The 18,672-nt window shown below is 36.6% G+C and overlaps 1 protein-coding gene across 19 annotated transcripts in view; it reads left to right on the top strand.

Annotated features, from left to right (window-relative positions):
• RPGR (retinitis pigmentosa GTPase regulator) overlaps nucleotides 1-18,672 on the top strand; it is a 58,347-nt gene that overhangs the window by 19,124 nt on the left and 20,551 nt on the right. For 11 of the 19 annotated variants that reach the window (NR_159805.1, NR_159806.1, NM_001367249.1 and 8 more), the window contains exons 8-13: nucleotides 3,596-3,751; nucleotides 7,015-7,139; nucleotides 9,245-9,430; nucleotides 10,934-11,102; nucleotides 16,902-16,993; nucleotides 17,362-17,427. Coding sequence is in view for 12 of the 19 variants with exons in the window: in NM_001367249.1 (NP_001354178.1) it covers nucleotides 3,596-3,751; nucleotides 7,015-7,139; nucleotides 9,245-9,430; nucleotides 10,934-11,102; nucleotides 16,902-16,993; nucleotides 17,362-17,427 (794 nt within the window). In the remaining 7 variants the exon portion in view is untranslated. Of the gene's footprint in view, nucleotides 1-3,595; nucleotides 3,752-5,713; nucleotides 5,774-7,014; nucleotides 7,140-9,244; nucleotides 9,431-10,908; nucleotides 11,103-12,241; nucleotides 12,402-16,901; nucleotides 16,994-17,361; nucleotides 17,428-18,672 lie in introns of those variants that run through there. The other 8 variants (NM_001367251.1, NM_001367246.1, NR_159803.1 and 5 more) reach the window with 7 other exon arrangements.

Here is an 18,672-nt window from a genome sequence, read left to right as displayed (position 1 = left end):
ATTTTCGTGTGGTTTTAAAGACATTTAACTTTCTGTGGACTTTGTTCTGAGCTTAAGTATAATGTTTCCAGAAATTGATTGCTCTCTCCAGATTTTTGCAAGCTTACGGATCTCACACACCAGTAAAGTTTTTTAAATTATGAGATGCATCTATTTGACAGACCTGGAACAGTTATTTTTTGCCACTAAGATTTCTACTACAGATGCAAGAAAGAAGTGTCCTTGCATTTCCTTTCTGATTGTGGCAGCCAACATTGAATGGGGGAATACAGGAGAAAAACTTGGTAATACAGGGAAAAAAACATGGAGAGATAATTTTTACAGTTCATAAATAACTTTGTAAACAGTGAAGAGCTTGTGTTACAATCCAGAGAATAATCTAAAATTTGAGTTTAAAAAATTATGAGAACCAATAGATGGTTGTCAGCTTCTGATTCACGTTTGCTTAAATATGGGCATTGAAAAACATGACTGCACTATCATATCATAAAATAAGGAACATTTTCAAAATAAAAAACTCTTAATTGTATATAATAAAGGGCACCTCCTTAAACTGTATAAATGTATATGTATGAAAATTTCACTACTTTGCCTGTTTTTCACATTTCTCCATGGACCTGTGAGAGCTTTATTATGAGCCAGCCCTGGTGAGGAACCTGGTTCTGGAGCACAGTATAGGCAGAATTTTAAAAATATTTAGTCCTAGCTGATGAAGAAATGGACCTGAAGAGTATATTGATCATCAGTGTGACTAAATACTAAACTGGATTGCTAAGAGAGTTATGGAATATTTTGTAAGACCTTAAGGAAAGAATAGCTAATCACCTGTTCCAATTTCTTTCACTAAAGAAAAGCACTTGGATTAGGTGTTTCTGTGAAGGACCTTCCCAGCCTTGTTTTTCAAAAGTCTATAACTCTTATCTTAAAAATCTATTAGAGGATCATTCATTAAACTATTTTAAAAACAATTTAGTTCATTTCTGATGAATTTATTTAAAACATAATATTTGCACATGACCGTGATAGATTAGAAAATAAAACTGGTTGTAGTGATAGGGTGATTATAGTTTCTCCTTGGGATCAGGGAAACCATGGACCACTGTGGAAAAAGTCTGAGGCTGGAACTTGGGACACACTAAGTGAGGCAGAGTGATATTTGTAGTTTTGTAAATCGTCCACAGCAGTTACCAACACACAAGAAAGGCCAGTTGTGAGATGGGGTTCACAATGAAGTCTGGGTCCTGAGGCAAATGAGAATTTATCTTAACTTCTCAGATTATGTTTGGATAAACCTAAGTTTTCTACAGGTTAACAAATTATTAGTTCTGAAATCAAATATATTCTGTGAAATTACAGTAATATTAATCTGAAGCTAACTGATCAAATCTATTTTCCTAATGTAATATTATTTATTAACATTAAATTATGTTGTTAAATGTCACAAAGGTGATATGGCCAAAAATTCTATTGGTTGTTAAATATAATGTCCTTAAATAAGAGCGCCTTCAATCATTTTTATAAAATAGAAACTGCTGTCATCACTAATATCCAAGCACCTGAATGGGAACCTACCAGGATACTGAACAAAACTTCTGTAACATGATTCAGACTGCCTAAACAGCCTCATTTCACAGGCTAATTAAAATCAGACAGCCTAAGAAATGTAGAGTAATTGTTGGTCAGCTAGAGATAGATAATTGCTTTAATTTACCCAATATTCTACTGTTAAGCTGAACATTTAGAACTGGAAATATGCCATGTGATTATTATTTAAACTAAGATGGTTTTTTAATATTAAAATAAAGATCTGTTTTGCCATTGCCTCAATATGGCTTCATATCTTTGATACAGCATATTTTCTTAAAGGAGTAGTATCTATATGTCTTATTTATGAAGCAAACATTTTTATTAGAAAAAATTGTAAAACCACATGACAATAGACAGTTATGTTTTCATTTGTAACCCCCATTGATAGAATGAGTTGATTAGATACTTTTTAGAAAAATGTTCTTTACAACAGTATGTCATATTATGTTTTCAAATCTGCCTGAATGTTTTCTCTTTTAATCCTGTCAGCACCTCTGTTAGATAGGGATTATAACATCAGAGAATCTAAGTAACTCACCTGCTTGCCACAGCTAGTAATAATGAATGTTTGGGTTCTGGCCTGAATAACAAGCTCTTGCCCTTCCTGCTGTAATAGGAGAAACTCAATGTACTAAACTCAAAGTACAAAACTCAGTGTACTAAGGAGAAGTGACTAATATAATCGACACTGCGCTTCCTAATGCAGCAGCCAGGAGCATGATGTCTCTAAAAGGACCCTTTCATCACCACTCATGTATCCTGTTTTTGTACTTTTTCATTTCTAGAAAACATATGACGTAGTATTTACTGAGTTACTGGAAGTCCTTTGGAATCACTTCAAAATATCAATATAAAGAAAAGCTTTTCCCCTCCTATTATAGTTGCATTTCCTAGTGAAGAAGCTTTACTTGTGAATAAATCTAGCATATGCCCTATCAGTTTTAATTCTCAAGACAATTCTCTGAAATTGGGTTTTATAAGATAGATTATTAAACTACTTTTATTTTATTTTATTTTATTTTATTTTATTTTATTTTATTTTATTTTATTTTTGAGATGGAGTCTTGCTCTGTTGCCCAGGCTGGAGTGCAGTGGCGTGATCTTGGCTCACTGCAACCTCCACCTCCTGGGTTCAAGCGATTCTCCTGCCTCAGCCTCCCTAGTAGCTGGGATTACAGGTGTACGCCACCATGCCTGGCTAATTTTTGTATTTTTAGTAGAGACAGGGTTTCACCACGTTGGCCAGACTCTTCTCCAACTCCTGACCTTAGGTGATGCATAAACTGCTTTTAAAAGGAAGAAGTTTTTCTGTAGGAGACACTATTCACTTTTTTATTTGACGTAGTGAGTTAGCTTAATGACAGTTGGTTCTTTTTTATTTTTTGAGATGGAGTGTCGCTCTGTCACCCAGGCTGGAGTGCAGTGGTGCAATCTTGGCCCACTGCAACCTCTGCCACCTGGGTTCAAGCGATTCTTGTGCCTCAGCCTCCCTATGTAGCTGGAATTACAGATGCATGCCATCATGCTCAACTAATTTTTGTAATTTTAGTAGAGATGGGGTTTCACCATGTTGGCCAGGCCAGTCTCAAACCTGGCCTCAAGCAGTCCACCCGCCTCGTCCTCCCAAAGTGCTGGGATTACAGGTGTGAGCCGTTGCGACCGGCCAACAGTTGGTACTTTTTGAGCCGACGTAATTATGGGGACATTTCAGGTAGTTCCCTGACTTATGTGCCTTGTATCATACCTGTTACTTACCTAACTATGGTTATGTATAAAAGATAAAATCATACCCATGTCATAATTTTTATAATGATGTACCTTTTCATTTTTCTCTTCCTTCATCATTGAAAGATTTATACTTCAATATTAAGTATTCTTAAATGTTTTTTTTTCCCCAGAGGCACTTAACCTTCACTATAAAAGGTTGAACGTGACAGTTTTTCCAGATATGATGGTAACAGTGTCTGCTTCCATAATCCTTGTCTTGTATTTGCCCCTTTCCTTTCAGAGAATGCTGTGTATACCTTTGGGCTGGGACAATTTGGTCAGCTGGGTCTTGGCACTTTTCTTTTTGAAACTTCAGAACCCAAAGTCATTGAGAATATTAGGGATCAAACAATAAGTTATATTTCTTGTGGAGAAAATCACACAGCTTTGATAACAGGTATGGATTAGAATTTCTGTTATATATTTATAGAACTGGGTATATTTTATTACAAAATAAATTATATGTGAAATGAATGTATCTAACTTAAGTAAAGGAATTAATGGCTGAGAAAAATGGAATTCCATGTTTACTATTCCAAAGTATAAAGTTGTGAACTTTTTATTATTTTAATTCAATTTAGAATAAATGTAAATGATCCAAAGATTTAGAACCTCACAATAGGCCGATGATGTCAGAAGTTAGACCATAGTATTATTCTTTGTCAGAAAACAGGAATCTTTTTGAAATTATATCATTTTGAAGGCTCTTAATTCTACTCAGGCCAAAAGGAAAAATCCCACAAGCAAAAACTTATTTTAAAACATTCTTCCTATTCAGTCTGACAGAGCTGCATTCAGGCCGAGTCAGTTGTTATGTTTTTGCCACCTGGAGGCGTTTTCAGGAATGACTCCTTTCCTTCTCTTTCTACGTGTTAGAGAGAAGGGACCCTCAGAGACCACTAAGTGGATACCTTCTTCCACTCTGTGGTATCTCCTTCATGCAGGGAAATGTTCCTTTGAGCCCACTTCTCAGCCTCAAAACTATGTGCTGCTAATAATATAGGACTCAGTAAAGATTCTCCCCTAAATGATTCAGTCACATATATGTAGGTAATTGATATAGTCCACAGTTTTCAATGCTTTGTGACAAACGGGTATATAATTTCACTATTTCTGTCTAAATATGAAGTGAAGCATTGGAAAGTCAGAAATCATCTAGTGTATTGACGTAATCCATGTACTAGTATTTCTACTTTTTTTCCTTCTTTTTGAAAAAGCTACTGCTATGAAAAAGCTCCTGAAAAAACTACTGCTCATCTAATGGTATCTGGCTAGGGAAACTAGGAATCAGCAAATGCAAGATATACTGTTTCTTCTTCCCCAAAGAAGCTTTCAGAGAAGATGACCTGCCCATGATCAAGTATCAGTGTTCTTGAGAATGTATCATGAAATAGCATTATATAGAATATGAAAAGTATTATTCATTCATCATCCACTAAGAGTTGTTGTGTATCCCTTAACTATAGGGTCCTAATGTCACTTTATCTGTCCTTACTGTCATTTTTCATCAACTCTAATCTTCCACTAATAGTAGATACATACTATTTTTAATCTGTCATCTAACATACAATTCGAATATTTAGTTAAATTTTCATAGTACCTTTACTCCTGATAAAAAGAGTTATAGCACAAATAATTGAACATTAACTTTGTTTGCCTTTTTGTTCATCAATCGTCCCTGGAGGGCAAGTGGTGTGGAATTTTTTTTTTTTTTCCTCCAGGACTAATGAGAAGTATGTAGTGGGTTATCTGCAAGCTCTTGCCAGTTCCCCATTATAGCCAGTGGCTCATATTTTTAAAAGCTCTCTGAGGTTGAAAGTGCCATCAGGCAGCTTGGATCAGGGTTTATATTTTCAGGCAAAAGACAATCAAATTTAAAAGGCAAACCTTAAAAAACATTTGGGTAAAGAAATCAGGTTGAAAAGAAGGAGGAAGAAGGGATAAAGGTGATAAGGAGCAGATATAAAAGAAGGACATAAATACTTAATAGTAAGAATTGTAAGAGTCTACAGCTTGGTCAACATGGTGAAACCCCATCTCTACTATATTCAAAAATTAGCCAGCATGGCAGCGCGTGCCTGTAATATCAGCTATTGAGGAGGCTGAGGCAGGAGAATCACTTGAACCCGGGAGGCAGAGGTTGCAGTGAGCTGAGATCGCACCACTGCACTCCAGCCTGGGTGACAGAGCGAGACCCCATCTCAAAAAAAAAAAGAAAAAAAAAAAAAGGTAGTCTAAAGAGTCCAAACACTGAATAGCACTTACTTACATATTTACAGGGAATCTACTTATTTTTGTAAATCGATTTTTATACTTGCCACCTTACTGAATTATATTATTCTTTCTGATGATTTTTCAGTTCTCTTGGATTTGCTTAGTATGCAGTCACTTTGCCGTCTTAAACCAGAAGTCCCCAAAGGTGACCCAGTTGTTTCCCAGCTTAAAACCATTCATTTTCCTTCTAAATGTCCTTAAGATAAAACTTCAAAAATCCTTCATCTGAACTAATAGGACACTCTGTGTAGTCCCTTTTCACCTCTTCAGACTCATCTCCTACCACTCTCCCCTTAGTGCTTCAGGGGTATTAGTTGCCTTTCAGCTTCTTGCCCGAGCCACGTTTGCTCTTGATTCAGAGGCTTTCTATGTACTGCTGACTCTGCCTGGAAGATTCTTTGCTCCCTTCTTCATGCAGCTAAGCCCTACTCATCCTTTAGGTTTCCCTTTGAAAGCCTTCCCTAATCCCCAGACTAGAGGAAAATTCCCCTCCTTTGAACCATATTAACACCCCTTACTTCTGCTTCCCTGGCACTTACCCCAGTTGAGATGGAGCGGCTTGAAGAAAGGAGTGTGAAGGTTCGTAATAGCTGCTATGGCAGTAAGCAAAAGGACTAACTGGCGAGAAGTGACAAGATTACTCATCATCATTGTGGGCCCAGTTTCAGAGGGGACCCAGGTTTTGGTATAGGAATTAGTTAGCATTTTTGGCTTATGGCATTTACTTCAACAGTATTCCACAGCCCAGGAGCCAGATTAGTTAAGCTAAGCCAGTAGTAGAGATTTTGTGCATCCCCCACTCCCCAAGTCACATGACAACGTTTGGAGACATTTTTTAATGGTCATGACTGCAGAATGGAGTTGTCCTACTGGCATTTAGTGGGTGGAGGCCAAGGATGCTGCTGAACATCCTACAGTGCACAGGACAGACCCACACGACCATGAATTATCTGGCCCCAAATGTCAATAATGCCAAGGTTGAGAAACTCTGATCTATCAGTGACCTCAGGGAAAAGGAAAATAGACTGTGTTGGGATGTAGGGGTCAGAATACAAGCATCTCCTTCTCCTTCCCTTGGAATATATGATGTGTATCTCAAATTCTCATTCTGTATTGCTGCTGCTCCACACACTGCCTTGCGTGACAGGTCATCAACTTCACAAACCACCAAGGTTAATTGATTTATTCTCAGAATATTTATTGCCTGATGTTACATGCAGGACCACAGAGACCATAGAGAGTGTGGAAAGATCAATAGAGTAAATTCAAGGCAGAATTTGAGGGGGATAATTATAATTGCAGTATGAGTTAACATGTTTATCTGTTTACAAATAGATCCATACAAGTAACACTTTTATAATTCTCTTCATTATTTTTGCATTTTAGATATCGGCCTTATGTATACTTTTGGAGATGGTCGCCACGGAAAATTAGGACTTGGACTGGAGAATTTTACCAATCACTTCATTCCTACTTTGTGCTCTAATTTTTTGAGGTTTATAGTTAAATTGGTAAGGGCATCACATTTCCCTGTTTATATTTTCATATTACTGTATTTGAGTCTTTCAGTATTTCATAGAAAATAAGTAATTTTATGTTTGTATGGAAGAGTATCATATATATATCTAATAAATATACTTGTTTCCTAAAAGCCAAATGTCAGACATTATGCCATTCAGAAAATGTGTTGCTCCTAATTTTCCTCCTTTAGCCTCTTCCTTTTTGCTGAAATCTTGTCTCTTCTGCTTCATTCTCATATATCTGTTGAAAGCTGGGACTGTGCCATGCCCGCAGGCTTTGTATCTTGTGTAGCACCCAGCAGAGTACCTTGCTCACAATAGTCTTTAATAAATATTTGCTGAATTAAATGTTAGACTCTCAAATCCTGCACAACAGAAAGTCTGATAATAAACAAAGCGTTTTGGCAGGGCACGGTGGCTCACTCCTGTAATCCCAGCACTTTGGGAGGCCAAGGCGGGCGGATCACCTGAGATCGGGAGTTTAAGAACAGCCTGGCCAACATGGTGAAACCCTGTCACTAATGAAAATACAAAAATTAGCCAGGTATGATGGCACACGCCTGTAATCCCAACTACTTGGGAGGCTGAGGCACGAGAATTGCTTGAACCCAGAAGGTGGAGGTTGCAGTGAGCTGAGGTCGTGTCACTGCACTCCAGCCCAGGTGACAGTGAGACTCTGTCTCAAAAAAAATAAAAAATAAAGAGTTTTGAAGATACGGTTTTTTGGCTAAATTTTCTTAGGTTAAGGATGTATTATTTCAGTGTCACGTCACCATCACGCATCATACCTGTATTGTTTCTTAATATTTTTGCCAGTTAAGTTTAGACTTTTGAAAATTCTATTTACTTGATGATAATACTGAAATTTGTCCTCCAGAGACTCAGTGTCTCATAATATGGAACACTTTGATTTATTGATTTGACAGTCATTTAATGAAAGCCTACTATGGGTAAGATAGTGTGCTAAGTATAAGAAATACAAAGTACTGGTCGGGCGCGGTGGCTCACGCCTGTAATCCTAGCACTTTGGGAGGCCGAGGCGTGCAGATCAACTGAGGTCAGGAGTTCAAGACCAGCCTGGCTAACATGGTGAAACCCCATCTCTACTAAAAATACAAAAATTAGCTGGGCGTGGTGGCAGGTGCCTGTAATCCCAGCTTCTTGGGATCCTGAGGCAAAATAATTGCTTGAATCCGGGAGGCAGAGGTTGCAGTGAGCCGAGATTGTGCCATTGCACTCCAGCCTGGGCGAGAAGAGTAAAACTCCATCTCAAAAAAAAAGAAAAAAAAGAAATACAAAGTATTGTATACAGTGATGAACGAAATAACCAGGACCTCATTCATTGAGGACTTATTCATTACAGTCTTATAATTTTTAAAAGGGATATACAAAAATATATATAAATTTAAAATTTTAAAGTATTATGAAGGAAAAATAGAACATTATAAAGTATCTAGAACCTATGTACGGAAAATACTGCACTATGGGTTTTTTTTTTAGCATTTTCTTGAAAATGATTTATTTCTCAAAATTCTTTGAATGCTGATTTCATTTTTTATTGTTCTGTCATCACCCAAGTAATCACGCATACTTGCATTTATTTTCCTCTAAGGACTTTTAAGCATTAAACTTAGAAAATGTTCATATAAAGAAGGCTTAGAGACATAATTAGCTCAAGAGACTGATTTATACTTTAAAAAAAATCTTCTAGTAGAACTTCTCTGAGTAATTTTTCACATTTTTAATGTTCTTCCCAGATTAAAATACAACATTTTCTAACTGTAAGGAGAAATGTAATTTGCCAAGTATTTTTTTCTCTATATTATTTTAAATTGAAAGTAAAATGGTGGATTAAACTTGTTCTAATTTTCAATCACAATGTTTAAAGAATATGTATGGTAATTGTGTACCTATTGTATACATATTGTGTACACATTCTCATTGTGCACACACATACGTATAGACAGAGAGATTCACCAAGCCAGTCTGTCTAGGAAGCCTACCACTAAATAAATGTCTTACAGCTGATAACTGTTAAAAACTCATTTGTGTTTGAAGCCAATGTTGATGAGTTTTTCTGTGGATTTATGCTGCAGGTTGCTTGTGGTGGATGTCACATGGTAGTTTTTGCTGCTCCTCATCGTGGTGTGGCAAAAGAAATTGAATTCGATGAAATAAATGATACTTGCTTATCTGTGGCGACTTTTCTGCCGTATAGCAGTTTAACCTCAGGAAATGTACTGCAGAGGACTCTATCAGCACGTATGCGGCGAAGAGAGAGGGTACAATTGTGGCCTATTCTGTATAATAGTATTATCTAGCACTGCAAAGAAAACTAGAAGAAAAAAATCTGTTTTCTTTTTAAATCAAAGGGTCTTCTCAGATAAATTTGCTACATAAAATTATTAGAGTTGAGTGCTAACAAACTTTTAGAGTTAATTCAGAAAAATTCAGAAAAGCTTAATGCTTTTTTTAAAGACACAAATTAGAAAATTTAAATTATAGAAAACTTTTGCATATAGACAATGGTGCTATAAAAGCATCCTTTTATAGTCCTATTTTATCACCTCACATTGAATGCTGAATTGTTTTTTCAACTGCATGTGGACTGACTTTCACTTTGTTATATGCTTTTTTTTATTATGGTAGTAAAAATACAACAAATATACCCCCTTAACAGATTTTTAAGTGTGCAATACGGTATTGTTGACTATAGGCACAATGTTATGTTGTTCAGAAATCTGTAGAACTTAATTATCTTATATAATGCTACATTCTTTTGTCTTTCAGTTAAGCCTCATGAGCAGTGGGAGCTTATATACTATAAACAATGAAATGGGAAAACAAAGGAATAAGGACTTCAATTAGAGAGAGGAAATATTCTCTCAATTAAATTTAGAGATTTTCCTTCTGTGTTTTAAAATTATTGTTCCAATGACATATATATATATGTGTTTTTTTTTTTTTTGAGACAGAGTCTCACTCTGTTGCCCAGGCTGGGGTGCAGTGGCGCAATCTTGGCTCACTGCAACCTCCACCTCCTGGGTTCAAGCCATTCTCCTGCCTCAGCCTCCCAAGTAGCTGGGACTACAGGCGTGCACCACCATGCCCGGCTAATTTTTTTGTATTTTTAGGAGAGACGGGGTTTCACCATGCTGGCCAGGCTGGTCTCGAACTCCTGACCTCAAGTGATCCACCAGCCTCGGCCTCCCAACCTGCTGGGATTACAGGCATGAGCCACCAAGCCCGGCCCCAATGACATACCTGTTTTTTAAAGTAAATGGCAAATAATTTTTGAAGGTAACATTCCTTTTTTGAAAATTACTATAAGTTTCAAAACATGTTTTTTTGAAGGTTCATAGCAGTTTTATTTGTAATAGCCAGCATATTTCTTTTGAAGTAAAAAGGTTAAATCTGGTGTTTTATTATGAAAAAGCATATATGGAAAAGTTGAGAAATACCCCATCAGTGTTTTGTAGTTGTTGTTAATTTACATCTCCTAAGTAATTTTTTGTTTCTTAGGGAGTGTAGAGAAAATGCACACACACTTTTCCCTGGTCATGTGAAAAATAAAGCTTCCAAATTGAAATTTAGAGCAACTAAGATACAGAGACAACAGAGCAAAATGTTTTTGAGCCTTTGGGGATTATTAAGAAGTAAATGTTGTGGAGTGTTGGCATACTTTGAACTTTCTCTTAAATATTTTAGCAACTTTTAGGAAAGTTTATATCAATATTAAATATATAACATCATGAAATAGTTTGTTTAACCTGCTTATTTTAAAGGAGAGGTCTCCAGATTCTTTTTCAATGAGGAGAACACTACCTCCAATAGAAGGGACTCTTGGCCTTTCTGCTTGTTTTCTCCCCAATTCAGTCTTTCCACGATGTTCTGAGAGAAACCTCCAAGAGAGTGTCTTATCTGAACAGGACCTCATGCAGCCAGAGGAACCAGGTAACATTTGCTACTCTGTCTGCTCTCAGGATAAATGTGCCTTTTATTCCTGTAGTTTTTATGTTTATCTTAAGATGTTTTCTCCAGTTATTTAAATTGTTCTCTCCCTGGTTAGAGCCTAACATCACTCATTTGAACTCAAATCCGGGAATATCCTTACAAGTAGAAAGCACCATCAGTGCTCCTAAGACTGCCATGTAACCACAGCAGCATATCTTTATAGAGCAGTGGATAACAGTTATAGTACATTCCTTAACTTTATCCCCTTTAAACCCTGAAACCACTTGATGAACTTAGGAGGGAGTTATAGTCTTCATTTTAGAGATGAGAAAAGCAAGGCTTGAAGAGATCAAGTGACTTGCCCAAGGTCACTCAGCTTATAAACGAAGTGGTCAGAATTTGAATACAGGTCTTCTGGATCTATGTGAAATTCTGTATTTAGGCAGTATAACATAGCGGTTAAGAGCATGGACTATGGAGTTAAACTGGGGTCAAAAGCCAGTTTTGACATTTACTAGCTGTGTGGCTGACTTTGGGAAAGTTACTTAACCTCTCTAAGCCTCAGTTTCCTTGTCTTTGAAATTTATTTAATAATACTGACTTCAGAAAGTGATTGTGAGGATTCAGTGAGATCAGGCATATAAAATAATTAGCATTGAGCCCAGCACCTCTAGAAACACCTCAGTAAATGTTGTTATGATTAATATTAATACCTTTGCGTCACTACCTATTAGATACAGATTTCATGTTTTAATTTGTAATCCCAGCTCTTTCACTATTCTATACCTATTCTAAGTAATTTTCTTTAGAGATATTTGTGTATCTTAGGAGTGTCTGTATGTTACTGCAGGACATCTAGAGAGGGAATATTCTCTCTTAATTAAATTTAGGGATTCTCCTGTGTTTTAAAATTATTGTTCCAATGACACATATATTTTTTAAAGTAAATGGCAAATAATTTTTTTTTTTGAGACGGATTCTCGCTTTGTCGCCCAAGCTGGAGTGCAGTGGCGCAATCTGGGCTCACTGCAAGCTCTGCCTCCTGGGTTCAAGCCATTCTCCTGCCTCAGTCTCCTGAGTAGCTGGGACTACAGGTGCCCGCCACCATGCCCGGCTAATTTTTTGTATTTTTTTTGTAGACATGCGGTTTCACCGTGTTAGCCAGGATGGTCTCGATCTCCTGACCTTGTGATCTGCCCACCTCGGCCTCCCAAAGTGCTGGGATTACAGGCATGAGCCACCACGCCCGGCCAATGGCAAATAATTTTTGAAGGAGACATTTCTTTTCTGAAAATTACTGTAAGTTTCAAAACATATTTCTTTTTTTGAAGGTTCATAGCAGTTTTATTTGTAATAGCCAACATATTTCTCTATTTGATAGGGGTAGGACAAGAAACCAGGACCAGGAGATCAGAAAGTAAGCAGTAAATTTGAAATTAAGAAGATAAACCTGTCATCAGGGACTAAGAATCAGGGACTAGGAACAGATAATTTGTGTATCTTTGAGATCAGGAAGCTAGGCAAAGGGTTGAGGTAATAAAGGATTGGGAACTCAGGTAAGAATTGTGGGCCATGGGAATGGGATATTATATATAACTAGGACCTTGATAATGAGCTGATTTCTTGCACCTGACCCACAACTTTTGTATGTTTTCTTTTGAAATAAGATCAATGTCTAATGGTACTCTTCAGCCCTGGACATGGAAAAAGTAGTAGATTCTGGCAAGCAGTATGTAGTGTGTACAAGGAAAAAATACATTTATGGTTTAGGGAAAATTGTTTCTCAGTCCCAGAGATTTGAATGTGAAAATATGCATGATTTTGTAGCTAGATCAAAAGGAAATGCCATCTCTTGTCTTTTTGTGACTGCTAACACTCTCTTAAGAAAACATTTTGGAAGTTGTATCTAACATATACTTTAACTTTTTCTAAATCATTCACAGACTTCAATCTTTATAATGGAGGAAAGTGGATCAGGATATATCTTACTAAGGAGTTGTCATTTAAGCTAAAGGATAAGAAAGAGATGGCTACACAGGGAGACTAGATGTATTTCAGGCAAAGAAAATAATATAGACAAAGGTTTGGAGGCAGTTAAGAAGAAAAGGACAACCAGTGGGGCTAGAAAGTGAGGGAAAGGGTAAGATAAAGCAGTATTGGAGAAAGAGATGGTGAAAAATTATTTACGGTTTTATAGGCCGTGAGAGACCTACGTGATATGAATGTTTTTCTTAAGTGAGATAGAAAGTCATTAAAAGATTTTAAGCAGTAGACTGATGTGTTCCAATCCTATTTCTACTTTGAGATGATTATGATCACTTCTACCTCCATATAGATTATACAGAGGCCAGACTAGAAATAGGAAGAATACTTGTGAGCCCTTTGCAGGAGATGATAGTGTATGGACCAAGGTGTTTGCAGTGGAGATGGAGAAAAGAAAAAGAAAAGAGGGAAGATGTGAAATACATTATAGACATAAAAACCAACCGGACTTGCTAAACTTATTAATGCACCACACATACGTGTGAATTAAAGTGAGGAATCAAGGATGATTCCTAAGCAAGAGGAAGCTTGACACATTTGAGGAAGAAATTTAAGAACTAAGCCTCAAACTAAGAACACGTTTGAGGAAGAAATTTGAGATCTGTGAGGCATCCAAGTAGAAATATCAAGCTGATTGTTGAAACACAAGCCTAAAGTTTAGAAGAGAGCCCTGGACTAGAAATATAAATTTGGAAGCCATCAACATAGAGATGGTATTTAAAAGAGATGGGCATGGTAACTTATGCCTATAATCCCAGTATTTTGAGAGGCTGAGGTAGGAGGATTGCTTGAAGCTAGGAGTTTGAGACCAGCCTGGGCAACACAGCAAGACCCCCTCTCTCTATTTAAAATAATAATAAAATCCATGGATGTTGGTGAAATCACCTGCTAGAGGGTAGAGTCAGAAGAGAAGAGGGCCCAGAATGTATCCCTAAGAACATCTAACATTTGAGGGGTAGAGAAGGAAGAGCCAGCAAAGAAGCCTTCCTCAGCTTTTTCAGCCAGTAAGGCAGGAGGTGGGAAATTAGGGCAGCGTAGTGTCGTGAATGCAAAGTACCGCTCAAAGATCAAGGGAAAATAGCTCAAAGAAGTATCCAATGGATTTGGTATAATGGAGTTTACTGGTGACCTCGACAAGAGCAGTTCTAGGGGAAGATCAGGGAAGAAGCCAGAGTGTTAAGAGTTGAGTTATGAATGGGGAATGAGGGATTGAAGAGGAGATAAGATGAGCAGATAATTCCTTTGTCTATTTGCTGATAAAGTGGAGCAGAGAAATGGTCTGGCAGCTAGAGGGGGATGTGGGCTCAATAGAAAATATTGGAGCACATTTATATGGTAATGAATGAGCCAGTAGTCCTGGAGAGAGAGCACAGAAGAGAGAAAGTATAAGGAAAGTTGCAAAGCTCTTGCAAAACAGGAGGGGCCGGCATAGAGAGTGGTCTTTGGTAACAGGAAAAACACATCCTACATTTTAACAGGCAAATGAGAACTTGGGTACAAATATAGGTAGTTGTGTATGTTTGTTGGTGAGAAGATCAAGTGGATCGGATATGATCACTTCTGTTTTCTCAGTCAAATCTGAGGCAAGGCCATCAGCTTAAATAATCTGCTATGTATTTTCCAAACCTATATTCTCTGCCTTCTCCAGTCTATCCTGCATAACACTTTCCACATTGATCTTCCTCAGGTGCAATTCAGTTTCCATGTGCTCCAGTGTCTTCAGTGAATTCCTAATATTTATGAAAATAATTGTTAATTTTCCCATATAATTCCAAATTCTAGCTTTATCTCTCAGTAGTCTTTTCCTTACAATCTTCATTTGGTAATAGGTAGTATTATGGTAGTAATGTATTATGGTAGTCTACAAATAATGGCTCGTGGGCCAAATCTAGCTGGCCACCTGTTTTTATAAATAAAGTTTTATTGGAACCCAGCCATACCCATTCCTTTATGTATTGTCTGTGGCTGCTTTCTGCTACAATGTCATAGGTTAGTTAGGACAGAGACCATATGGCCCAGGAAGCCTAAGATGTTTACTATATGGCCGTTTAGAGAAAAAGTTTGCTGACTCTTAATTTTGATCAGACTGATCTCTTCAGTCTAACTTAGTGGAAAGAACAAGAGCTGTGGAGTCAGACAGACCTAAGATTGACACTGGATACCAACGGTCACTGAAACTTAATTTCTATATTTACAAAATGAGGATATAATACTTAACCTTCCTTGTTGTCGTAGGGTCAATATAACATATATAAAAGCATATGTTTCTGGGATTTGGTAAGCCTTCAAGACAAGCTTCTTTCCTCTACTCATTTGCTGAGACTACTGTTCTGCTGCTTTATTAGGAATGGGCTTCATTGTCTTCCCCTTACACCTCCATCTCTGCCCCTCAGAATTCTAATTCTACTCATCTTTCTATGTACCTCTGTAGTGAAACTTTTCCTGATTGCCAACATACGGATGTAATTTCTCATAGACTATAACTTCATTAAGAAATAGCAATTACAATTTTTTAACAGCAAACAACAAAATTGCAATTGCTAATACTTAATGAACTTATTAGTATATGTATACCCAAACATGTTTTATACCTTAAATATAGACGATAAAAAATAAAAAAGAATTAGCAATTACTTATGTTGCTATTCTGCAGATTACCACACATGGAATAAATACCAAATAGTTATTTGCTCATTCAATTCAGTGGATTTAAAGGGGAGGGATCAGTGTGGACTGTCATTTTTTAGTGAAGACTTCATTAAGGAGCTACGTCCAAATGTATTGGTGATCAATGAGGGCATAGTGAGAAACTGAGAAAAATGTAAAGTCAAGTAGAGCCTATGACTTTTAATTATCTACTTTATGATGTAATAACCTTGCAGTTTTCTGTGAAAGGTTCTAGGTGCTTATACTAGTTATCTGTTGCTACATTTAAAAAATGACCCTAAAACTTAGTAGGTTAAAACAAAAAGCATTTATTATTTCACACAGTTTCTGAGAGTCAGGAGTCCAGCAGCAGCTTAGCTGGGTGGTTCTGGCCCAGGTTCTTTCATAGGGTTGCAGTCACACTGTCAGATGGGGCTGCAGTTATCTGAAGGCTTGACTGAGGCTGGAAGATCCACTTCCAAGCTCATTCACATGGCCATTGGCAGGAGGCCTCACTTCCTTGAGATGCTCACAACATGGACTCCTACAGAGCAAGTGATTAGAGAGAAAGAGAGGGAGTGCACGAGTGTAGCTGGGGGTGGAGGGGGAGAGAGAGAGAGCAAGAGAGCCAGAGCGAGCACAAGTGCGCATACGTGTATAACCAAAACAGAAGCCATAATGCTATCACAATTACATCTGCTTTATTTTACTGGCTGTGCACATACGGACCAACCTGGTATAATGGGCAAGGGAACTACACAAGAGTATGAACACCAGGACGTTGTAGGTCATTGGGGCCCTTCTTAGGACTAGCTATTACAGTGCTTGATACCTGGGTAGTTATTTATCCCAAGGGAATAGTGTTTGCCTGTTCATATGAATGAAACAATTGTAATCTAATTGGTGTCAATGTTTTTAAACTTTCACAAAGATTTTAAAACCTATGTCATTGTGAATGAATTCTTTTCAATTTCCCTGACATGAGGTTAAAGGACTTTTAGTAAAATTATACCTACACTTTATATTATAGAATAATTTCTGTTTTCTGTCCAGTTGCCTTTCACTTTTCTGTTGAAATCTGGATTTCCTTTTTCCCATTTAATCATTCAGATTATTTGCTAGATGAAATGACCAAAGAAGCAGAGATAGATAATTCTTCAACTGTAGAAAGCCTTGGAGAAACTACTGATATCTTAAACATGGTAATGATTTCCTATCTATTTATCTAAATATGAGTTTGAATTTTAGTTCATTGTGTATGTGAATGTGTGTATACTTCCTATACTCTTATATGCATGAAAGCGTCTTTCTCGTTTCTTACTTTATTTTTTAACCAACTATATTGAGGTATAATTCACATACAATAAAATTTGTTTTGATCCTCACATTATTAGTATGGCAATTGAGAGCGGATTCTATTACTATCTGAACTGTTTTCCCTTCATTTTATATATATATATATATAAAAAAATATATATAATTGAAAATATACTATATATTTGTACTATATACAAATATATAGTATATATACTGTATTCTTTTTATAATATATATTTTTTATTTATTTCAGACACACATCATGAGCCTGAATTCCAATGAAAAGTCATTAAAATTATCACCAGTTCAGAAACAAAAGGTATAATATGAAGATTTATTTTCGTTATTGTTGGTGAGAGCAGTTTAAGTTAATTTTTTGGATGGTTTTTGGAAAGAACACAAGAAACGTAAGCATTTACTTACTTTAGAATTTAAAAGACAGAGGGATACAATGTAGATAACCTCCATTTTGCCTTGTTCTGATGGTATGTATTTTCTGTAAAGAAACAAGAGTGGAAGCATTTTATTGCTGAAATTTGCTCTTTGGGATCATTAACTTAAGTTATAATAGCCATACTTTTCCTTCTGTCAAGCCATAGGTTATGATTGCAGTTCTTATGTATAGGAAAAGACTACCATTTATTGATAGAGTGGCCCTCTGACTTTGGTTGAGTATGACTTTGAATTAATTACTATGCTGACTTTACTGAATGATATTAATATCTTTTTTAGTTTTAAAATTTTGTGATTTTAGTGAAAATCTTTGATAACCTTTTCCAATATTTGGTTGGGCTTTAATTTATCAAGAAATTGATAGCATAAAAATAAAATTAAACATTTGGAAATTAGAGACTGTTCATGGGTAGGAAAGAGAGACTTTTAATGAATAACAAATTGCAAAAGAAGGGAATAGGCTGTGGTTTTCACAACCATAGAGAGATAAAGGCCTGCCCTGAAATCCTTTGCTTTTCCTGGCTTTAAGGACTAGTGCAATGAATGAATGAGGGATTAGAGGATTAGGAAAGTAAATTGGAGAAATGTAAGTTGAGGGAAGAAGTCTATAAAAAATATTTAGTTTCTATTTATAGTGTCTTTGACATGTTTTCAAGTTTAAAACTCTTAAAATTGAAGTCACTGAAGTGCAAGAGAATCATACTAAATTGTTAAAATTTAGAGCTAGTCCTCATTCGTTCTATCTATAATACTGAAAGGCATGGTGAATAACAGCATTCCTTTGAATATGGGAGAGCTGTTCGAACACAGTTGTAGAAGCTCAATGAATATTGACTGATTTTTGACTGACCATACTTCCAAGCAGACACCTTTCTTGTGTCTTTCCTTCCTCTTCCCTTAGACTCCAGGCTCTCCCTCTTCTGGGCTGCTTTATTGTGCTAGGGAAAGAAAGGCATGTGCCTTTAGAAATCAGTTCTGGCAACTGGGCCTTCCTCTCTTAGGGCTCTTAAAAGAATCATGACTTTTTAAAGAGCAATAGCAAGAACAGCCAGAAACGGAAAGCAATTCCTTTTAAGCTGACATATATTTTATACTTTCTATAGTCTTTTTA

The sequence above is a fragment of the Homo sapiens genome, chromosome X, assembly GCF_000001405.40.
Source record: "Homo sapiens chromosome X, GRCh38.p14 Primary Assembly".
In the NCBI taxonomy this organism is placed as follows: domain Eukaryota; kingdom Metazoa; phylum Chordata; class Mammalia; order Primates; family Hominidae; genus Homo; species Homo sapiens.
Note: the sequence above shows the minus strand (reverse complement) of the source record. Positions and strands in the feature narration are given on the sequence as shown.